Source organism: Homo sapiens, chromosome 15, assembly GCF_000001405.40.
Source record: "Homo sapiens chromosome 15, GRCh38.p14 Primary Assembly".
In the NCBI taxonomy this organism is placed as follows: Eukaryota; Metazoa; Chordata; class Mammalia; order Primates; family Hominidae; genus Homo; species Homo sapiens.
In genome coordinates this window covers 70,034,511-70,053,572 of record NC_000015.10, presented here as the reverse complement: position 1 = coordinate 70,053,572, position 19,062 = coordinate 70,034,511, and the positions used below count along the sequence as shown (strand labels likewise).

The 19,062-nt window shown below is 46.8% G+C and overlaps 1 protein-coding gene across 24 annotated transcripts in view, besides 3 other annotated features; it reads left to right on the top strand.

The window, feature by feature from the left end:
• Window positions 1–5,783, top strand: part of TLE3 (TLE family member 3, transcriptional corepressor) — a 50,128-nt gene extending 44,345 nt beyond the window's left edge. For 22 of the 24 annotated variants that reach the window (XM_047432993.1, XM_047432992.1, XM_011521983.4 and 19 more), the window contains 4 exons: window positions 199–346; window positions 1,049–1,199; window positions 2,106–2,182; window positions 3,369–5,783. In XM_047432993.1, the coding sequence (XP_047288949.1) occupies window positions 199–346; window positions 1,049–1,199; window positions 2,106–2,182; window positions 3,369–3,476 (484 nt within the window). In that variant the 3' untranslated portion in view covers window positions 3,477–5,783. The other 2 variants (XM_011521981.3, XM_017022532.3) reach the window with 2 other exon arrangements.
• Window positions 16,435–16,544: an enhancer, noted in NCBI's record as "active region_9670". NCBI's record gives its function as "activates an Ori minimal core promoter by ATAC-STARR-seq in GM12878 lymphoblastoid cells {active_cell/tissue: GM12878}" and the evidence as "EXISTENCE:reporter gene assay evidence [ECO:0000049][PMID:35858748]".
• Window positions 17,688–17,817: an enhancer, noted in NCBI's record as "active region_9669". NCBI's record gives its function as "activates an Ori minimal core promoter by ATAC-STARR-seq in GM12878 lymphoblastoid cells {active_cell/tissue: GM12878}" and the evidence as "EXISTENCE:reporter gene assay evidence [ECO:0000049][PMID:35858748]".
• Window positions 17,908–18,007: an enhancer, noted in NCBI's record as "active region_9668". NCBI's record gives its function as "activates an Ori minimal core promoter by ATAC-STARR-seq in GM12878 lymphoblastoid cells {active_cell/tissue: GM12878}" and the evidence as "EXISTENCE:reporter gene assay evidence [ECO:0000049][PMID:35858748]".

Genomic DNA, 19,062 nt, shown 5'->3' with positions numbered 1-19,062 from the left:
TTCCGTGGAACTGGAAAGAGGCCTGGAACTGGAAAGAGGCCGGGGCTAGCTTTGCTGCAAGCTCGCTAAGGGACCATGCGCATAGTGCACTCTTCTGGGCCTCAGTTTTCTCTTCTGCTCAGACTGCCCCTGGGATGGCCGCCACCTGGCAGTCTGTGGTTCCCGGGACTCACCCTCCTCCCTGCTTGGCTTTCGTAGGCAGTTCCAGGGCCACACAGATGGGGCCAGCTGCATAGACATCTCCCATGATGGCACCAAACTGTGGACAGGGGGCCTGGACAACACGGTGCGCTCCTGGGACCTGCGGGAGGGCCGACAGCTACAGCAGCATGACTTCACTTCCCAGGTGTGCGGCCCAAGACTCCTCCCTTCCCAAAGAGCAGTGTGTTCCCTCCCTCCGGGGCCCCAGTGGCTGGGTCAGGGACAAAGGGACCCTCACAGAGTGGCCACGGCCAAGAGACTTGGGACCAACCTGAGCCATCTGGGAAGGCTTCCTGGAGGAAGCAGCAGTGAAACAGATGGAGATGACCTTGGGGTTGGACACATTTGGCCCAACTGTGGAAATTCGATTCATTCTCTGCTGCTATTGAGCACTTTGTCCTCGGCGTCCTCATTCACAAGATGGAAATAATAGTAGCACCCTCCTAGGTCTGATGTGGGCACCTGAAATGATCCCTCTAAAAGGCGTAGCCATAAACCCGACTCACAGAAAGCATTCAGTAAATGCCAGGGATTATTATTTCTTATTTGCATTCCTCACTTTAATATTTTAATCTTAAATTTTTAATATTTTAGTTTTTTTTTTTTAACTCACTTTTTTCTTAAGGAAAGATGAAAGTCTCAGAGACAGAGTAACTGAATGCAAAATGTCTGTGCTTTCTCACCTATAAAATGGGGATGGAAAATGACCTCCCATACTCCTGGGTTATTGGGTGGGTGGGGAGGGACCCTGAGCCTCAGAGGACCTGAGCAGCACCTTTGGGAGCCGCCCTCCTCTTGAGGGCAGAGAATGCTGAGCTCAGTCCATCTGCCCTCCCACCACCTGCAGATCTTCTCGCTGGGCTACTGCCCCACTGGGGAGTGGCTGGCTGTGGGCATGGAGAGCAGCAACGTGGAGGTGCTGCACCACACCAAGCCTGACAAGTACCAGCTGCACCTGCACGAGAGCTGCGTGCTCTCCCTCAAGTTCGCCTACTGCGGTGAGCCTTGGATGGGCCCAGGCCTGATGGAGTGGGGTGGGGAACCCAGGGCAGCCTGGCCCAACAGGACAGAAGAGGGGCCCAAAGCTTATAGAATAAGCTAGGCCCTGGAACCAGGCCTCCTGACCCCTGAGCTGGTGCCCCTTCAACACCCTTAAGTGATCTTGTTCCACATCCTTGTTTCTCGGATGCAGATGTCACCATGAGTTATTGAACTCTCAGGACACTAGGCCAGAGCCAGTTCTTGCAGGCTTGGGGCAAAGGAACAGGACAGTAGCAGTGCAGGCAGTTCCTCTCCATGGTTACAACCACTTGCTTTGGCATCTGAGAGCCTTGGATGGGAATGTCTGCTCCTCCACTGACAAGCTGTGCAGTCTTGAACATCTCACCCTCTCTGAACTCTAGTGGATTTTTCTCTCTGGTCGGGAATAGCATGGTGCTCATGGCTTTCAGGGAGCATAAGGGCTTTAACACTTGTAGAGCCCTGGCCGAGTTCCTGCTTGGAGGAAGGTCGCCCACTGACTGCTGTCTTCAGCCAGGTCTCCAGACTCCCAGGGCTTGGATATTTTCAGTATTTCCTGTTGCCTTCCAGTAGTAGAATTTAGAAAGGCCAGTCAACCTTAGTGGCTTTAACAAGAATCTTTTGAGGCAGCGTTATCACTGCAATGAACTTCAAATCCTACCTTTTCCCATCCTAGCCCCGCCCAGCCCTCCCCCTGGATTTCAGAGAAAGGCCTTCTCCAGGTGTCCGCATGTCCCATTTGCAAAATGCCTCTCGAAATTGGAGAGTTATACTAGTTAGCAGTTCTCACTGCTTTTCTATGGCAGCTGGCCATGTCTAGGGCAGGTCTTGCTTTAGAGGGCAGTGAGCTACAACCTGATCATGCCTTTGCCTCCCACCTGCAGGCAAGTGGTTCGTGAGCACTGGGAAAGATAACCTTCTCAACGCCTGGAGGACGCCTTATGGAGCCAGCATATTCCAGGTACTGCCCACCGTCTGAGTCCTCCTCTGGGTTCTACCCAGAGTTGAAACTTGGTGATGGTGATGGGAGTGAGGATAGCAGCAGGAAGAACAGGAGGAGCCTGGAGCCAGGATCAGACCTGCCCTGGTCCCCTCCCCACCCCTACCTGATAGGGGAGCAAGATTGGGTTCTCCCAAGGACCTGGGGACTTCAGCAGGACACACAATCTGCTACTGATGGCTTCTGACCCCCGAGGGCAAGGGCTTCTAAGCCGGGGCGCTTGTCGGATTTGGAGAGTGAGGAATAGCATAAGTGTTTTTGCTCTGGGCTGGATGCTGAGCACCTGCGGGAGGTGCGCTGGGCACCTGGGCACCCGGCAGCCTTGCCCAGAGCAGTGTTGCCTCCTCAAGTGAGTGAGTGTTTCCACCTGCATTCAGCACCAGCAGGGACATGGACAGGAAAGAGAGGAGGAAAGGAAGAGGCTTTTTATAATCTACCAGGATCTGGGGCCTGCCATACTGCACTGATTGGCACACACACGTGTGCACACACACACGTGCACTCTTTCCCATACACGATCAAACTCACACTCATTTACTCACGCACACTTGGTCTCCCCCACACACTTTCTTCCTCTCTCTCTCTTGCGCTTCCACACACACACTTGCATTCTCTCTCACTCCCTCAGCCAACATGCCGCTTTCTGGACCCAGGCTGAAATGTCTGGTGTGCAGCGTGTCAAACCTCATTGTTAGGGTCTCTAGTTACAGCACATGCTTCAAACATCAGGTGGCAATCCTTTTCCTAACTCATCAGGCTGTGGGCCTGAGCTGCTGACGCCAGCTCCTAGCTTGGAAATGCTTCTTCCTATTTGTAAACTCGGAGGAGAAGCTCTTGCTAAAGCGTCCTGTTCTGATCATTATGACTTACTGTAAAGATCACGTGGGAGACTGTTACTGAGCTTTTCCTTATGGAAAAGCAGGTGGGAGGGGAGCTCTACCTGAAAATGCTTCATGGGTGCTTTAAAGCCTCCCCCACCTCCTCTTCACCGCACTGTGCTCCAGGTCGGAGCATCAGAGAGGGGCAGAGGAGGGCAATTGTTGCCGAGAGAACCGAGATGGTGTTGAGCACTGGAAAATGAATTCCTGTCTTTTTTCTCCCTGCACCCCACGCCTTCCTGCTGCTTCTCCTCGTCTTCCTCCTCCAGTCTAAAGAATCCTCGTCTGTCTTGAGTTGTGACATTTCAGCGGATGACAAATACATTGTAACAGGCTCTGGTGACAAGAAGGCCACAGTTTATGAGGTCATCTACTAAACAAGAACTCCAGCAGGGCTGTCAAACTCTGGGAGAAACCGACTCGGCTCTGACAGGGAGACCCCCAGGCGAGGGGCCCCGAGGATGGCGGAGGATGGGCCGCAGGCAGCCGAGCGTTCAGGGCTGCGCTCCGGCCGGCTGAGAGGGCACGTGCCCCGTCACAGTCTGGACTCCTGGGCCTGGATTGATGTGTCTCACAGACTCGGAAGGGTTCTGCTCCTCCTCCTCCCCCTGAACAATGCTGGCAGTTGCTACAAATAGATTTATTGGAGGCTTATGGCTCCGGTTCCCCCACAGACCCGCTCATGAGTCTCTGTTTGTTCTTCCCTTTTCTTTTGCCCTGTCCCTCACCTTGGGTCGGGGGTGCTGGAGTGGACCACAATGTTGTGCTGGGGGATGGGGGGGTCTCTCTTTGCCGATTGTGCAGTGCACAAGATTTGTGAAAAATGTAAATAACAGACTCCTATTGCGGACTGATCAGTGGGAGAGGAGGCCCCTTCCCACCGGAAACTCTGAGTGTGTATTTCGCCTGCTGTATTTGTAATCCACTCGTGGTGGTGGCTTTTTTTTTTTTTTTTTTTTAAATAAACAGATGCTCTCACCTGGGAAGAGGAGACAGGGAGGGGAACCAATTGAAGAAAGAGGAGAAAAGTCTTAGAGTGTGGAAAAGGCAACCAGGTTGGCCGTAAGGTGCCTGCTGGAATGCGTGTGCCTCCACACGGGTCTGGGCATCCGGACTGATAACCAGCCGGCCAGACTGAGGGATGGAAGGCACTGAGATGGGGGCCCGTCCAGGCGGACACCCGCAGAAATGGAGCTTTCTGTGGTCTCTTGCACTCTGGCTGCCTCTTGCCCTCTCTGTGTCTCTCTTTCTTGGTCTCTCCCTCTCTCCTCCTCAGCCTGGTCTTTCTCTTTGGTGCACACTTAGTTATTGTTGTGAGCAATGGAAGTTCAAAGGAACTCCCTCTCCAGCTCTTCTGAATCTTGGGACACAGCCTAAAAAGGACAAAAAGTTAGAAGACAGCATAGCAACTCAGCTCAGGGAGCTACCAGAGAAAAATAGCAACTGATGTGGGTGCTTTTTTTTTTTTTTTAATTTGAATAAAAAGAATTAGAAGTGATGTCCTTTTATAAAATGCCTTCTCCCCCTTCCCGCCTACAGTCTCTTCCTCTCCCCTTAGAGGGGGGAAAGTGTATAAACCTACAGGGTTGTGAGTCTGAAAAGAGGATCCCCCTCACCCCCACCCTGGGCAGAGCAGTGGGGGTTGGGGGGTGGGAGAGGGGGACACAGATCCTGGCACACTGTGGATATTTCTTGCAGATTGCAGTCTCTTGTGGCCCAAACAGGTTAGGTAGACTATCGCCTCTGGCAGGTGCCACCTTTTGGTACCAACATGTTCTGAGGTGTTAGGATTTGGGTTGGGTTTTTTTTGTTTGTTTTTTTTTTCCTTTTGGTCTTTTTTTTTTTCTCCTTTTAAAGAAAAGCTAAAGGCCGCTGTGAGTCCTGGTGGCAGGCTCTCCATGGATGTAGCATATCGAAGATAATTTTTATACTGCATTTTTATGGATTATTTTGTAATGTGTGATTCCGTCTGCTGAGGAGGTGGGAGGGGCTCCAGGGAAAGCCACCCACCTTCAGTGAGGTTGCTCCCCAGCTGAGCGCACCGGGCATGGGATGTGGAGGCTGGCGACACACCCTGTGCCTCTCCAAGGCTGGGCGCGTGGGGCGTCCAGAGTCTCTCTGGGTCTCAGATGTCCATCTGCCACCTCTTGTTAAGGCTCTAGCCAGAAGGGAGGGTGAGGGTAGAAGAAAGTTATTCCCGAAGAAAAAAAGAATGAAAAGTCATTGTACTGAACTGTTTTTATATTTTTAAAAGTTACTATTTAAAGGTTGGTTTGATTGTTGCGTCTTAATTGCCTCTCCCCCCAGTTTGCCAGTCCCGCCCCCCGCCCCCCGGGAAAACAGCCAGGCCACTGTTGCTGTCACATTCTGGAGCCTGGGCCAGGGCCATTTCCCATCGATGTGAGCTCTTCTCATCTCACAGCATTCCCTGCGCTGCTTCCACCCCCTTCTCCCCTTCCAGATACCCAGCATCGCAGCAGGGATTTCACAATCCCATACTGTGTCGCCTCCCATCCAAGCGCCAGGGAGGGTGGGGGGTAGGAGCTAAGACTTCCTCTGGACAGATGGGCAGGGCAGAGTTCACTGAGGTGAAGGAAGACCACAGGTTAACACCAAAGTATTGTACAGCTGTCAATGCAAAACTTTTTTGGAAAAAAATTAAACGTAATGAACTTGAAGCGAAACTGCAAAGTGTCTGTGAACATCTGGACCTTGGAAACCTGCACAATTTTATTTTAAGCTTAACACGTTTAGGTGGGACGAGGAGATCTTCAATCTCTAGGTCACAAAGGTGTGTTTTTGGATGATACAGAAGGAAGCATTTGCAGAAGAGGCAGACCCAGAAATGCAGGTCATTGTCCCCAGGGAGGGAGTCGGGGGGCTGGGCGGGAAGAGGAGAATGCTGGTGCCCATTCCCGGGGCGGTCCCCAGGCTCTTGGATTTCATGCACCCATTAGCAAAAGCTCTCAGGGCACTGGAGATTAACATGGTTTCCAACTCCTTATTTTGTCAAAGTCATTCTCAGCACAAACAATTGCCTGCTGTCATTTCATACAAGAAAGGGAATCTCACATTTAAAAAAAAAAAGAGGAACGACAGTCTCAGCATAAAGCACAGTCTTTATGACTAGAAGGGACAACTGGCCTCTCTCCACACAGAGGGGTCATTTAGCTGGAGAGGGAGGTCCTCTCAGGCTTATGGAGGAGACAATGCCAGCAGGTAGAAGGGACCAGACAGGCTGCAGTGGGCTACAGCTCTGCCTCAAATGGTTGCAGGGGTGTGAGTCAAACAGCTCTCCTTGGACCATACCTTTCTCGTGTGTCCATCTCTGGGCATTGCAACAGAGGGCTAGGGGGCTGGGAGCAGGCTCTGGCCAGAATAAGATTGTGTGTTTGTCCAGAGCATGAGGTTACCCATGGGAGCCAAGATCAGGGTGGAATTGGGGCTTGCAGGCCCCAGTTTGGCAGAAGAGGAAAATGTCCATCAGGGAATACTCACCCCCCCAGGCTTGTCCTATTGGAAAGCAAGGCCAATGTTACTCTTTGAGGAGAGACTGAACCTCTGCAAGTCTGTTCACTGAGATTTCCTGGGCACACTCAAGGATGGAGAGATGACCAAGAGTCAGTCCCTGCCACAGAAGCTCACAGTTCAAGGTCGGGGAGATGATACAGCCCCTTACTTCATTTGACCTGTGTTCCCACTGCTGCTGTCCTTAATGCCGGCACACTGGGCCTCCCCTGCACTGAGCCTCTCTGCACGTGCTTCCTCCTTCCTCCTGCTGCGTCTCCCCATCCACCACTCCACTGCTTTCCACCCAACCCTGGCTGGCGGCACGAACCACATCTGGGAGCGTGTTAGAAATCTAGAATGAGCCCCTCAGTCCTACCCAAGCAGAATCTGCATTTTAACATGCTGCCGCGATTCCTGTGCACATCAGTATTTGTGAAGCATTCCAGTCTGAAAGGAGGGGCCCACTCCATGGTAAACCTATTCCCATCCTTAATCCCCCCATGTTGCCCCCTTTTTACTTAACAGGGTGACAGGAGGCTTTGATGCCATTTTTCTGGCCTTTATCACCCTCCAAGTGTTCCTTTCCTCTTATGCAGAAATCCAGGCTTGTAGCAACCATAGCGTTTACAACATGTTCCTGCACCTATTTGCTTGTCTCTTCCCACCTAGACTAGTTTCCCTGGAGGGCAGTGCGCAGGACCTCATCAGCCCAGGGCAGTGCTAGTGAATGATGAGCTTTCACCAGTTTGAGATTATCCTAATTCACAGTGTCTGGCGTGATACCCAGGGCATCCGATACTCAGTAACCCGAGCCCAGAGAAGTGAAATGATGTCTGGAGTGTTTTCAATTCTATTGTGCTGTTTTTGCTCAAAGCAAGATCTGTTTTTTAAAAAATGGAGGGCCACAGTTGTCAGAGGCCAGGTTTAATGTTTTAGTTGCCATCAAATTATAAACAAATGGGCTGGGCATGGTGGCTCATTCCTGTAATCCCAGCACTTTGGGAGGCCAAGGTGGGCAGATCACCTGAGGTCAGGAGTTTGAGACCAGCCTGGCCAACGTGGTGAAACCCCATCTCTACTAAAAATAAGAGAATTAGCTGGGCTTGGTGGTGGGCGCCTGTAATCCCAGCTACTTGGGAGGTTGAGGCAGGAGAATTGCTTGAACCCGGGAGATGGATGTTGCAGTGAGCCCAGATCATGCCATTGTACTCCAGTCTAGGCGACAGAGCGAGACCGTCTCAAAAAAAAAAAAACAAAAAAAAAAGAACAAATATTTGGGTCATCTTTGGCAATAGCTGACAAAGCCACCCTTTCTAGCTTCCCTCTGAGTCGCAGCCCCCAGGTGGCCCCAACCCCAGCATGGGCAGTAATTGTCTAACTTGTAGGGTCTCTGAGAAGGTATGGAGACAGAGATCTGGACGCTGGAGCCAGAAGGATCCTTAGCAAGACTGCTAAATGTTAGGTACTGGCCATCAAATGGCCCATAATGATGCAAGTGTAATTTTTTTTCCCAATAACTTATTCAGTGTTTACAAATGAGCATCATTTTTAATATAAAGCAAACAAATCTGAACTTTTAAAAAAATTGTATGATTAATGGAGCATTTTTAAACATTATACCAAAGTTGGACCTTTTATATTTGAAGAGACATCTATACTAAGCCCAATTTTATAGATGGGGCAATTAAGGCCCAGGGAGGGCAAGTGACTTAACATGACTCACAGAGTCCAAGCCAACATTATGATGAAACATCCCCCTCCCCTAAACCCTTAGCACACTCAGGATGGAAAGCTAGGAGGGAACTGCCCAGCCTACAGGACTTGATGTTGCTTGGAGGATTAATATCCAGGGAATGAGTCTTCCTGCTCCTCTACCAACAGTACTGGTAAGGAAATTACTCATGGAAAGGAGATGGCCCAGAACAGTCATGGAAACCAGCCTCCTGCCTCAAGAACTTCCTAGAACTCACCCACCCACCCATCTTGCCCATCCTTCTATCCATCTATCCACCCATCCATTACCCACCCACACATTTATCCGTATACCCCTTCATTCACTCTTCCATCCATCTATCTAGCCATCCTATTCACCCGTCCATCCTACCAACATTTATATAGTAAGAATCTAATATGTGCCTGGCATGGTTCTCGATGCTAAGATGCAAAGATAGTAAGATGCAGTGCCTGCCCTTAGAGCTCTCAGCCAACTGGGAGAAAACAGAAACTGACAATTCCCACTCCATGAGATATGTGAAAGTGCAAACCAGATGTCACCACACATAGCTGAGGCATTGACTTGAGTATGGAAGGGCAGAGCAAGAGGGTCCTGGAAGGACCAAGAGCTAAACAGAAGTGAAGAATACCATGGGCATGCCAATGAAAGGTATGAAGAAAAGTGTTCCAGGTGGAAGGAACAGCATGTGCTAAGGCCTGGGGTAAAAGAGAGCATGGTCCCAACAATGCATCCCTACCTAACCCATCTAGTTCTTGCTCCTCCCTCCAGCTCCATCCAGCCTTCTTACATCCCAGTTCTTGCTGCAACTTCCCGACCCCTCACCCCCACCAGTAGCCTCCAGGCCAGAAGCTGGGCTAGGATTCTGGCTGAGCAGGCTGGTGAAACCGGAGGAGGGAGCTGGACAGAGACCACAATTCCAGCCTGAACCAGGAGAGGCAGAGGAATGGGGAGAAGATGGAAGGAGGCTGCAATTCAGTGTCTGAGAATGCCCATGATAATGCCCCAGGGCTCTGAGTCCCCAACACAATTGGCATCAGAAGACCCGGGGATCTGTGATTGGATCATGGTGCATGATCAGTTCCTTACCTGGGTAATATACCTATTCTAAGCTCCCACCACATTCACACAGTTACTTTTATAAACTGCACATCTGGCCCCATCATTGCCCATCTTGGAGCCCCTCACTGGCCCTCTTCACAGCACAACTCACCCTTAACTCATCTAGGTGTGGGCCCTGTATCTCTAAAGTCATCCCTCCCCACTTATCTTGCTTCCCTTCACACACCAGCAGCACAGTACTTCCAATGCCCTGAAAAGCAATGCTCTCCCATTTTAGGTTTTGCATGTGCTTCTCTTTCAGCTTGAATGTGGTGCATCCTTCTTTGAATTTCTGCTCATTCTTCAGGAGTAGGCCTCAATGTCACTTCTTCCAGGAAGCCTTCCCTGACTGCCCACTTCCCTACTCCTTGGTACTCTGAGAGTGTTCTCTCCCAACTTTAGGTAGCACATACCAAGCACAATGTTAGTATGATTACAGATGGTTCTACTTAGGACTTTTGATTTTATGATGAGTTTATTGGGTATTAAATGCATTTTTTTTTTTGAGACGGAGTCTTGCTCTGTCACCCAGGCTAGAGTGCAGTGGCGTGATCTCAGCTCACTGCAAACTCCGCCTCCCGGGTTCAAGAGACTCTCCTGCCTCAGCCTCCGGAGTAGCTGGGATTACGCGTGCCCGCCACCATGCCGGGCTAATTTTTGTGTTTTTTAGTAGAGATGGGGTTACACCATCTTGGCCAGGCTTGTCTCAAACTCCTGACCTTATGATCCACCTGCCTCAGCCTCCCAAAGTCCTGGGATTGCAGGCATTAAATGCATTTTTGACTTAGAATTTTTCAACTTACGATGGGTTTATTGGGACATAACCCCATTGTAAGTCAAGGACCATCTGTATGGTTTAATGATATCCTGTCTCCTGATGCCCACCTGACCCTCCCACCACACAGTGGGCTCTCAGAGAACAGCGACTTTGTCTTATATCTCCAGTGCTTAGTGCATTGTAGGTACTCAGGAAAATGTTACTTGAATGAATCAGTGAGTGTGTGATTAAGATAATACACTAATATTTCTAGAGTGCTAGTGCATGTAAATCATGTCAGTCAGTGCTTCATAAATATTGTTTAATACTCATAACTGACCTATGAGGTCATTGCTATTATTATACTCATTTTATGGATGAAACAACTGAAGTTCAAGTTCCCCAAGGTCACACAGCTTGTAAGGTTTGTATGACACTGCTGCTGAATGGTTGGATGGATGGATGGATGAATGGATGGATGGATGGATGGATGAGTAGATGGATGCATGAAAGGATGGATGGATGGATGGATGGTTGGATGGATGGATGGATGGATGGATGGATGGATGGATGAATGGATGGATGGATAAATGGGTGGATGGATGGATGGATGGATGGGTAGATGGATGGATAGATGAATGGGGGAATGGATGGATAGACGAATGGATGGTTGAATGGATCGATGAATGGATAGGTGGATGGATGAGTGGATGAGAGGATTGGCGGGTGAGTGGAGGATAGGTGGTGGACTGCCTGCCTCATGAGGACTGGAGTAGAAGCTTGGAAAGAACTGATCCCACGTGTAGAGGAGATCAGTGATCTTAGGTGGAAGAGTATGGGAAGAAGAGCCAAGAGACAGAAGCTCCCCTGGCTAAATCAGACCTTTCTTACATCCATTTGAGTACCTCTGTGAATGCCCAGAAAACCCCACAGTGTGCTCAACCTGACCCGGACCCAGTTCCCCTCTCAGACAGGTCAGAAGTGGGCCCTAGGGAGCTCCTGACTGCTGAGGCAAGAGAGGGAGTTAGGATGGGGCTATGGCCTTGTCCCTACAGGGTATCACAGATGGAAGCTGCCCTGTGCAAATGTTTGGTGGCAACAGGTTAGAAGATGAAAAGATCGGGCCTAGAATTTCCAATTCAGGAAAATGAAACAGCAAGCTAATAAGGATTCACTTTGACCATGTGAACACAGACATATTGTATAAAATTAAAATAAAACAATTTTGCTAATCTACATGAAAGAAAGGGGAATCCTTTAATGTGGTAAATAAAAGACTTTAAAGGTAGAGTGGAGATCCCTAGCTCAGAACAATACCCAAAAACTACATAAAGCAAAAATGGACAGAATTACAAGGAGGAATGGGAAGTTTTATCATACCACTAAGAGGAACTAGTAGATCAAGCTGTGAGAAATTTATAAGGTTATAAAAGATATGAACAACATAATTAACAAGCTTGAGACATAGAACCCTACAAGCAACTATTGGAGCCCGCAAATTATTTTCTAGAACACCTGGAAGTCTTAGAAAGTTTTACCAGTAAAAAGAAGCAGATAGAGCATTTTACAAAATTCAACACCCATTCATGACTCCCTTAAAGTTACAAACCAGGAATCAAAGAAAACTTTAATCTGACAATGGATAGCTATATCAGACCTGCAGCCAAATAATAGATAACAGTAAAGTTTCAGAAGCATCATATTAAAGTCATAAAAAACAATCAATGAGCCAGGACAGCAGTGTGTACCTGTTGTCCTAGCTACTTGAGAGTCTGAGGCAGGAGGATCACCTGAGCCCAGGAGTTGGAGACTAGCCTGGGCAACATAGCAAGATCCCATCTCTAAAAAACTTTTTTTAAACACAAGAATATTCATTATTACTGTCTCTGTTCAACGTTGTGCTGGAGGGTCTAGCCAATGCAATAGGACAACATAAAAAATAAAAGGATAAATAAAAGTATCATGATTGAAGTGAAAGAAACAAAGTTGTAATTATTTGCAGATAATATGACTAGATATACACAGAATATAAAACTGTTTAATAAGGGAGTTTAGTCAAGTTGCTGGATCCAAGATCAAATTTCATTAATCAATAGCATTCCTATTCACAAGCAGCAACCAATTAGAAAATGTAAAGAAAAATGCATTTATAATAGTAAAAGCTACCTATGAGTCAATCCAAGTAAAGCTACGTAAGATCTTTAAGGATAAAAATACAAAATTTTATTGAAGATTTAAATGTAAAAAGACCTCTGTATATCACAAACTATGCCATAGTCATTTATGAGCTTTTTCATTTAAGAAGCTGTATTTTACAACTATTTATAAATACAATGTTAAACAAATCCAAATGGAATGTTTTCTGTGTAATTTGATAATCTGATACTGATATTTATATGAAGAGTAAGGGACCAAGAATAGCAAATACAATTTTGAAGAGAAATGAGGGAGGAGAACTTCGCCTGCCAGATATCAAGACTTACTGTAAAGCTACAGGAAGCAGGAAAGTGTGCTCTTGCTGCATGTGCAGACAAATAGACCAATGGAGCTGAATAGAGAGTCCATAAGTAGACTACTATATAGGTGAGAATGTGACTACCACATAGATGGCATTATGCATCAGTGGAGAAAAGCACTATTCAGCAATAAGTTCTGGAGCAACAGGCCATCTTCATGGTGGGAAAATGGATCCCTACCTCACACAGTACACAAAAATAAATTCTCAAAGGATTAAGGTTTTTAAGCTTATAGTACAGAATATTGGAGAACAACCTCAGGACTCAGAGGATGGGAAAAATTATTGAACAAGACAGTAAGCAAAAGCTATAATGAAATAAAGATCAATTTGATGATATTAAATTTTAAAATACCTGTACAACAAGAGATACTATAAAGTAACAAAACATGAAAAAACATAAACACAATGCCTACAACTGACCGAAAAAAGTGGTGTCTGGAATAGATAATGAATTATTCCAAATCAGTACATTGAAAGCCAACAACTCGAGAGGAAAATGGGTAGAGGACATAAATAGGTGATTCACAGGAGAGGAAGCAGAAATGCTCAACAAACACGTGAAAATACCTCATCTCACCAGCTATCAGGGAAATGCAAATTTACAAAACAAAATGAAATGGAACGACCCATTCCCATTAGACTGGCAAGTTTTCGAGTTTGATCATATGAAGCTTCCATGAGGGTGGTGAATGACTAGTATTGTCAAACACTGTGGGAGCATAAATTGGTTCAACCACTTTGTGGTTGCCAAACAACTATTACTATTACTAATAGGTTACTCTTGCCAGGCAGTTTGGCAATCATGAAGGAGGAAAAGCACAACCCTGTGACCCACTAAATCTACTTCCAGGTATGCACCCTGGAGAAACTCTTCAACAACTCCATGAAGAGATATGTACAGAATCTTCATTGCCTCCTTGTTTGAGCAAAAATAATTAGAAACAACCTGTCCATTAATGGATGAATGGATTTTAAAAGATCTATGCATTTTCCTATAATAAAATTGTACATAGGCATTAAAATGCATAAGCTATATCTTTCTGTAGCAGTTTGGATAAATCTCAAAAACAATGTTGTGTGAAAAGAGCAAGTTGTGGAAGGAAATACATGATATGATACTATTTATATAAAATAGAAATCCACAAAACAATTCTATATTTGAGCATATATATACATATATATATGAGTAGAAAGAACACCCTACACCACCAGGATAATGGTTATCTGTGGGGAGGGAAGAAACGGAAAGGTCAGCGGGAGTTCAGCTATACCTATCACATTTTATTACTTTTTAGAAACTCTGTAGAGAATGTTAAAATGTTCACATTTTAAAAATCTGCGTGGTGGCTTTAGAAGGGTCGTGTTATTTTCTGTACTTTGTGACATGTTTGAAATATTTCATAATTAAAGATTTTTTTTTAAAAAGGCAGAAAAGTAAAGACTTAAGAACTCGCCCCCGTTATAGTGTCTGGTGACTCAAAGGGGGCCTGGGGTGGGGGTGCCCATGCCCAGTGGCAGATAGCAAAGCCCCGGGCTCACCACATCACCTTAGTCACGTCACGGGATCTCTCCAGTCCTTGATCTTTTCATCCTTTATGTGATGCTTGAAGGCAGGTGAATAATCAATCCCTGGGTCCTCTCCAGCTTGGATGTTTTGTGGTTCTAATGATTTTGTGAGTGTGCAGGGGCAGTGCTCTCATGCAGAGACAGCATGGATTAGATTTGTTTAGCTTTTCATTATGAAAAATGCCAAACAGAGAAGTAGAGAGAACAGAATAATGAATCTCCATGTGCCCATCAACCAGCTTCAACAGTTATCAACTCAGGGCTAATCTTCTTTTATCTATACCCCACCCATCTCTACCAGTCACCACCACTGGAGTATTATGTAGCAAATTCCAGACATTTCATCATTAAATTAGCACATATTTTACTATTTCCAAAACGTAAGACCTGTTTTGAAAATGTAACCAAATACCACTAAACCTAAAATATAACTTCTTATATCATCAAATATCCAATCTGTATTCAAAGATCCCCAATTGTCTCATAAGTCTTTTTACAAAGTGTATTTATTTGAATTAGGATCCAAATAAGATCCACACAGAGCAAGCAAAATTGATATGTCTTTTAGATTCCTGCTTCATATCACATCCTCTCTCTCATACACATCCATACACACACATATTTATTTACTGGAAAAAAAACCAAATTTGTCCTTAGAGCTTCACATAGTCTGAATTTTGCTGATTGCTAAATTGTAGTTAGATCTTGGAGCTTGATTAGATCCAGGCTTGATTTTGGAGGGAGGCAGAATACTTCATAGATTCATTAGGAAACACATAGCAGCTAGATGCTTCTCCTTTTGTATGTTAGCAGTCACCGATGATCATTGTGTAGATTCATTAACTCATTAGGGGCTACATAAGGGTGATTCCAATTGCAACATTTGCTTGAATATTGTTATAAAAAGAAACTGCCCCACACCAACCATTTGGTTACCTTGAAGTACAGTTCATACAGGAAAGGCAAGATGAATGCTTGATTCATTTGCTTTATTTGCCAATTTTCAAAATAATAAGTTAATTCTTCAGTATCCTCAGCAATTGACCAATGAGGTATTCTTTTTTAAAACATTATGAATGTGTGAATTTAAACATATTTGATATGTTTGAGTCAAGTGGAGTTATCTTTATTGCTTCTGAAATCATCCTACTTGGGGATCCTCTTGAAGATGCCTCCTGAGTCTTTTTAATACGACCATACTAGTCTTTGAGAGCTTCCATGCTTTCTGGTAAAAGACAATGTCCCTGGCTCATCTTGTACATTTTCCATCCTGGATGTGGAGTTGGCCATTTTTTCCAATGAACCTTGGTTCTGTTTAGTGGAAAGTGGTATTTGGAGACCATAATCTGGGTGCTTGGGGTGCTTGATGCTAATGAAATGATCATTGTTTCTGGGCCTTTTCAGTAGCAGAGCTAAGAAATGTGTATGTGCATATTTATATATTTGTTAATATATAAATAGACCGTGAGGTCTACTGAGGCTTCTAATTCAAATTCAGGGTTACAGGGTTTTTTTATTTAACCTCATTGATCTTCTACCTGTATCTCCTTGCTAAGTAGATTAAATTCTGAGTGGTTTACACCTAAGTGAAGATGAATTTCAAATTCTTCCCTTGTTGCTATTCATTTGCTGCTTGCTTCATTTTTCCAACCAACCAACTGTGAATTTCTTGAGGGCAGAGATCAAGTTTGGTTCACTTCTCTATTCCCAGTTCCTAATGGAGTACCTGTCATCTGATAGGTGTTTGGTAAACAGTTACTAAATGCCCAAAAGAATGCTTTCAATGAAAAGTTTCCTTTCCTTAAAAGGAGAAGTAGAGTGAGTAGAATCTGAAAATTTGCTCAGGATTGTAAGCCAAGCATATCGGCCCACACACCCATGCATTAATTCAATAAATATAGACAGAACAGACCCAGTGTTGGAGGCTAGGGGCACGAAATATAGAGGTAAGTGATCTATACCCTCACAGAATGCACTTGTTAGTGGAAAAAACAAATTCTACTAATTAATAATTAGTGGCCTGGACAGCATATTGTGGGGGTCCTCATCGGGGGAAGAGGCAACTCTCAGAAGGGTCAAAAAGGGGAAGTATTCATGAAGGCTTCCCAGAGGAGATCACATTTGACTAGGTGTTTAAGAGTGCATCGGGGTTGTAGGTTTATAGAGGGAAAGGCATTTTAGACATGCCAGTCCCTGAACTGCTTGCCTCTCTGCAGTTCTGAGCTAGTTTGTCCTTGGATGGGCCTGAAGAGTTTGTAGATTCCTTGTGCTAGGGCTGGAGCTACTCCTTAGAGAACCTCTAGTGTCTCCCAGGAGGGTCAGCAGGTGGAGGGAGGGAGGAAGGGAGGAGGGAGGAAGCCCACAGTACTGAATCACTTTGCTGAATACTGCACAGAGAGGCCATCCCTCTGTGCAGGGCACTATTTGGAAACTGCTGCCAACTGCTGTGCATGCACTATGTAGATCAGCTTGTTTGTCAACGAAAGTAATTTGCATTCAAGCTTGTTTGGGGACACACTCCCTAGTCTCCAGGAAGCCCTAAGGACAGATGTTACCCAAGACTGCTACTTGACTCACCATCACCTTTCTATCAGTGTGAGGCACCCTCCTCTGGCCCTGCTGGCTCAGTTCCAGGAGGCGCAGGTGTTCAGGCCTCTAAGTCCTACCCACCAACATGGACAGAGCTACCTAGACCTACGCAATCAAAGAATCGCAGTCATCTAATGATATTTGCCCTGGTCTAGAACCCACCAGCCTATGATTTACCTCATAGGTTTAAAAAAATAAGTTTACTTTTTAAAGCCTAAATGTAAAGATTTTAAAAGGAAACTTTATATATTATCATAAATAAAATACCAATATTCCTTACCTTAAATTTAAAAGTCTGCATACTTGTAAATGCAATGAAAACAATTCTAAGTAGCTGTACCTCAAGTTCTCACTCCTTCCTTGTTAAAAAAGGGAGATGACCCAGTGTTTGAGAGCTGTGTTGGACATTCGCACCCAAATGAAACCTGCGCCTTGTCCAAATCAGAAATGATTGAATGAGAATTGGGAAGAGAATAATTTCCTGCTCTGCAGCCCATGGTTTTCAATGCCTCGTCATCTTTCTTACAAAACTCTCCTCTGTGCCACAGCTTGGGAAAGCCAGATCTAGTCCAATATCTTTGTTACAGATGGGGACACTGAGGCCCAGAGAACACAGTGACTTGGAATTGAAAGTTTCATGGAAGCAGGACCTCTGTCAAGCTCAGTCCCTCTGGTATCCCCAGTGCCTTGCACCGTGTGCAGAACGAAGGAATGGGTGACTTCACACAACCTCGAGTCGAGACTGAAACGAACACCCAGGCTTCTTGACTCTTGAGTGTTTCTGTGTTGCAGAGCTCCTCACCCCATCCCCAGCCTCCACCACCCCTCCTCAGCTTCCTCTTTCAGTTCTTCTTGGGGAATTCAGGGGATTGTGCATCTTGAGCAGGGCCATGTGGCCCTGCCTGGATCTCATTCTTTCTCTGCTATCTGCAGCTGGTTATGTCCTAGTCTCTAGGTGGCCTGACCTGCGATGTGCAGGGGGAGAGAGAGGGCAACTGCCTCCCTCTTCCCTCTTTCCTTCGGCCTCCAGTCAGCAGCTCTGAGGGTCCATTCTGAGCCATCAGCCCTGCCCTGCCACCTGGGGTGGGAGAGCTGGTGAGCACAGAGTGGGGTCGTATGGGCAGGAACTGAGGGGCTCCAAATGGATGTGGGGAGAGGCCCGAGCCGGCAGGAGAGTGGCTCCCGTCCCTTGAGCTTCCTGCCCTAGCTTTTCACTCTGAGGACACTGATCTCTGCCCCATCTGTGGGCTCTGTTCTGCACTCACCTGAGCCAGGCCTCGTGAGACAGTTATTGTGTCAGGTCCTGTCTGGCCATCCTGGCACACAGTCATTCAGCCTCTATCCAGTCAACAAACATTTCCAGAGACCCACTCGGTTTGGGCCCCAGACTTCAGAGATGAACAGGACCCAGCCTCTGCCCCCAAGCTGCTGCCAGGGTTGGGGGTGGGGAACGGCCCCATCCCCAGATGACCCTAATATTCCATGACCAGTGCTCCTAGGGCACTAACTGGCACAGGGGCATGGAAGTCCAAAGGACAGGCACCCACGGGCCCCCAGGGCCAGGATGGCTTCCTGGAAGAGGTAAGGTCTGAGCTGCGCTCTGAAGGATGAGGGGGATGAGGAAGGCCATGGAGGAGGGGCAGTGTGGCATGTGCAGAGGCTCCTGAGGGAGGGTGAGGGTGACAGGAGAATGCTGAGGACTGAGATGGACTCTGGGGGAACCAAGGAGCCTCTGACAGTATAACAAGGAGACTCTGGGTGGAATTCGGCCATTGGGAAACAAGCTCTACTTGTGGTGTCAGGGCAAGGCAGAGAGGAGGACGCCAGGCAGCTGGCAGCGTGGGCACTAGCACGGTGACGGTAGCCTCAGAGCATGGCACAGCCAGAAGAATGTACCCAGTGCATAACCAGGGGAAGAGGGGCCTGAACCCATCTTTCACCTTCCATGTCCCACTGCTGCTCAACAGGACTCAGAGGGGAGACTCTCCCAGATGGGAGACCAGCTACATCTGCTGGTCCATTGAACAGGTGCCCTGTTTCCTGCGGCTGGCAAAGCTGGAAGCCTAGTGTTCTGGGATGGCCTGCGTCATTGCTACCCCTTGAAAGGCAGCTTACCCTCCCCAACCTTCTACCTTGTGGTAGCACAGATGTCAGCTGTGGGCTTCTGCCTCCAACCCTTCCCCCTGAGTT